The sequence below is a fragment of the Homo sapiens genome, chromosome 2 (assembly GCF_000001405.40).
Source record: "Homo sapiens chromosome 2, GRCh38.p14 Primary Assembly".
In the NCBI taxonomy this organism is placed as follows: Eukaryota; Metazoa; Chordata; class Mammalia; order Primates; family Hominidae; genus Homo; species Homo sapiens.
In genome coordinates, this window is record NC_000002.12 from 227645476 (window position 1) to 227649072 (window position 3597).

At 44.0% G+C, this 3597-nt stretch overlaps 1 pseudogene; it reads right to left on the reverse strand.

The window, feature by feature from the left end:
- On the reverse strand, positions 2367 to 3136 carry LOC100420667 (solute carrier family 19 member 3 pseudogene; annotated as a pseudogene).

Genomic DNA, 3597 nt, shown 5'->3' on the forward strand with positions numbered 1-3597 from the left:
GTTTCATCATGTTGCCCAGGCTGGTCCACATGCCTCGGCCTCCCAAAGTGTTAGGATTACAGGCATGAGCCATCACACCTGGCCTTTCAAACCACATTTTAAAGACTAGAGTTATTGAAAGATTCCAGAAAGAAAAAAAGTTTTTTTTGTTATTTTTTTTCCCAAGAGTCTTGCTCTGTTGCCCAGGCTGGAGTGCAGTGGCAAGATCTCAGCTCACTGCAACCTCCACCTACCAGGTTCAAGTGATTCTTGTGCCTCCCGAGTAGTTGAGATTACAGGTGCATGCCAGCATGCCTGGCTAATTTTTGTATTTTTAGTAGAGATGGGGTTTCACCACATTGGCCAGGCTGGTCTTGAACTCCTGACCTCATGATCCACCCACCTCGGCTTCCCAAAGTGCTGGGATTACAGGTGTGAACCACCGTGCCCAGCCTGTTTGTTTTACGAGACAAAGTCTCACTCTGTCACTCAGGCGGGAGTGCAGTGGCACAATCATAGCTCACCGAAGCCTAGAACTCCTGGGCTCAAGTGACCCTCCTGGCCTCAGCTTCCCCAGTTGCTAGGACTACAGGCACACACCACCATGCCCAGCTAATTAAAACAAATTTTTTTTTTTTATAGAGACAGGGTCTCACTATGTTGGCTGGGCTGGTCTTAAACTCCTGGCCTCCCCACCTCAGCCTCCCAAAGCTCTGGGATTACAGGCATGAGCCACCTTGCCTGCCTGAAAAGAGTTTTGATAGTTTAACCTTAAACCATCTAACTCTTCATGGTCAAACCATAATTGGCCAGCAGGACACCAGTTTGTAGCTCCTGTTTTTAGGGATGAGTGTAACTTTATCTTCCATGTATACCTTTTTCAATGTTTTATTACATTAGTTGCCTCTTTTAAATTTGTGACAAAACTCTTCTTTTTCAAACTACTTGGTAGTTGGTGTTGAAATCACTACAACAGGATTATTGAAGAATACAATTTGAAAGTTGTGTTATTTATTTTATGTTCAAGAAAATTAAATAAAAACAACTATTTTTTACCCAAGATACTACAGTACACAATTACCTCCGAATGCATGATATCTTTTGATCTTTAAAGCAATCCTGTGCAGCTACCCAGGAGGCTGAGGCAGGAGAATGGCTTGAACCAGGGAGCTGGAGGTTGCAGTGAGCCGAGATCGTGCCACTGCACTCCAGCCTGGTGACAGAGCCAGACCCCATCTCAAAAAAAAAAAAAAAAGAAAAAAAGCTATCCTGTGAAATAAACTAGCAGATATTGTTCTGGCCTTTTAAGAGAAGAGAAAATGGATTGCTAGAATTTTCATTGATTTGCCTACTTGGCAAATGATAGAACATAGATAAAAAAATTGAGCCCAGGGGCCAGGCACGGTGGCTCACGCCTGTAATCCCAGCACTTTGGGAGGCTGAGGTGGGTGGATCACGAGGTCAGGAGTTCAAGACCAGTCTGGCCAACACAGTGAAACCCCGTCTCTACTAAAAATACAAAAAATTAGCCAGGCGTGGTAGTGTGCACATGTAATCCCAGCTACTCGGGAGGCTGAGGCAGGAGAATCGCTTGAACCCAGGAGGTGGAGGTGGCAGTGAGCTGAGATGGTGCCACTGCACTCCCTCCTGGGCGACAGAGCGAGACTCTTTCTCTAAGAAAAAAAAAATTGAGCCCAGTGTTTTTTTATTTTTATTTTTTAATCTAGTCACTAGCTTCATTATAAACAGCAAAAATATCAATTAAATATGTGTTGTATACTTGACGTAGCGTAGGTCTTGTAATATCAGTTCTTACTATCTTACTTTTTTCAGGGCTCTATTGCACTGAAATGCATTGATTGGAGTTACTTCCGAACAGGTCTAATTTTTTACCATGGAGTATCTTACAACATGGAGCAGCACATTTTCTGCACATTGATGAGATAAAGTCTTATATACCTAGACCCAAAGGTTTCAAGGGCTTCTACTGCTCCATTATATATTGATAGGGTTTGACTGTATCCCCATCCAAATCTCTTCTTGAATTGCAGCTCCCATAATTCCCACGTGTTGTGGGAGGGACCCAGTGGGAGATAATTGAATCATGGGGGTAGTTTCCCCCGTACTGTTCTCATGATAGCAAATAACTCTCATAAGATCTGACAGTTTTATAAGGGGTTTCCCCTTTCGCTTGGCTCTCATTCTCTCTTGCCTGCTGCGATGTAATCAGTGACTTTGCTCCTCCTTTACCTTCTGCCATGATTGTGAGGCCTCTGCAGCCATGCTGAACTGTGAGTCAATTAAATCTCTTTCCTTATAAATTACCCAGTCTTGGGTATGTCTTTGTCAGCAGCATGAAAATCGACTAATACATGTATTGTGAAACTTTGAGATGGTGCCTTGTAATCCCATAGGATTTGAACATAGTTTAACATCTGGTTAAAACCTGTTGTGGAAAAAGCCCACCACAGGGGTCAGTAAAAGAGATGCTTCGAGGAGTAGCACTCCTGCAAATCCCGGGACCACTGCACAAAATCTCTCAAAGCCACATTGCTTGGCTTTGGGGTGCCCCACTGCTGGCATCCAGGTCCCCTGAAACAGTGAATAATTCCGAGTGAACTGCTTTGTGATCCTTGTGAGATTCCTCTAAGATGGCGTCCTCTCCTGGTGGCTTTTGAGGAGTTTCTTTTTTGGGTTTTGCATGAAAAAAACATGCTCTTTTTGGGCATTGGTAGAAAAGGTGAGAAAAGGAAGGCCACGGAGACAGAGGCCAAGGATATGACGTTGAGGTAAAAGTACAACAGGTTCACCGGGGATACCAAGAGTCGGGCCAGCACCGACCCTGCTGTGTAGGTGGCCAGCGTGACACTCCTGCAGTAGCCGCTCACTCTCTGGTAGTGCTCGGGGCTGACCACGCTGTATATGTAGGCGTAGTAAGCCACCTCGGCGGCAGTGACCATCCCGTAGAAGAACTCTACAACCTGCACGGTCTTCACTCCTTGGCCAAACAGGAGCGGCAGTCAGGTAATGATGAAACTAATAATACCTTGCAAGATGATGACTGGCTTGTAGCGGACGTAATCGGTGAGGACAAACACAAGCAGCAGCAGCACCAGGTAGGAGTATGTCCAAACGGGGAAGATCTCATCTGTCATCTGCAAGATTAAGTGGGGAGAGTGCAAAGACAAAAAAACATCAGGACGTGAAATACACCCTGGGCCTCTGACACTTAACATTATCAAGATGAGATGTATCAACCCCAGGACGCACTGCTTGGCCTTTGCCAAAGTGGGTCTAGTTTCATGGTTTACATGAATTTCTAACAATACTTTGGAAAGCAATGGGAAACTGAAATTCAGGGAAACAAATTGAATGACAGATATTCATAAGGTGAGAATTTATATTTCCAGGTGTAAAAAACACAGCAGCTATTATCTTAGTTATCAGCCTTTTAAACTTTATAAATGTAATTTGATCTGCAATAAGCTATGGAGGCTAGGAAAAGAGGCCATAATGGATAAATTAATCTGTTTACACTTGACAGGATTTCCAGAACAATCTAGGGCTGCTCAGATACTGTTGCTTACTAGCATGTAACAAAATAGTTTATTCCTCTTC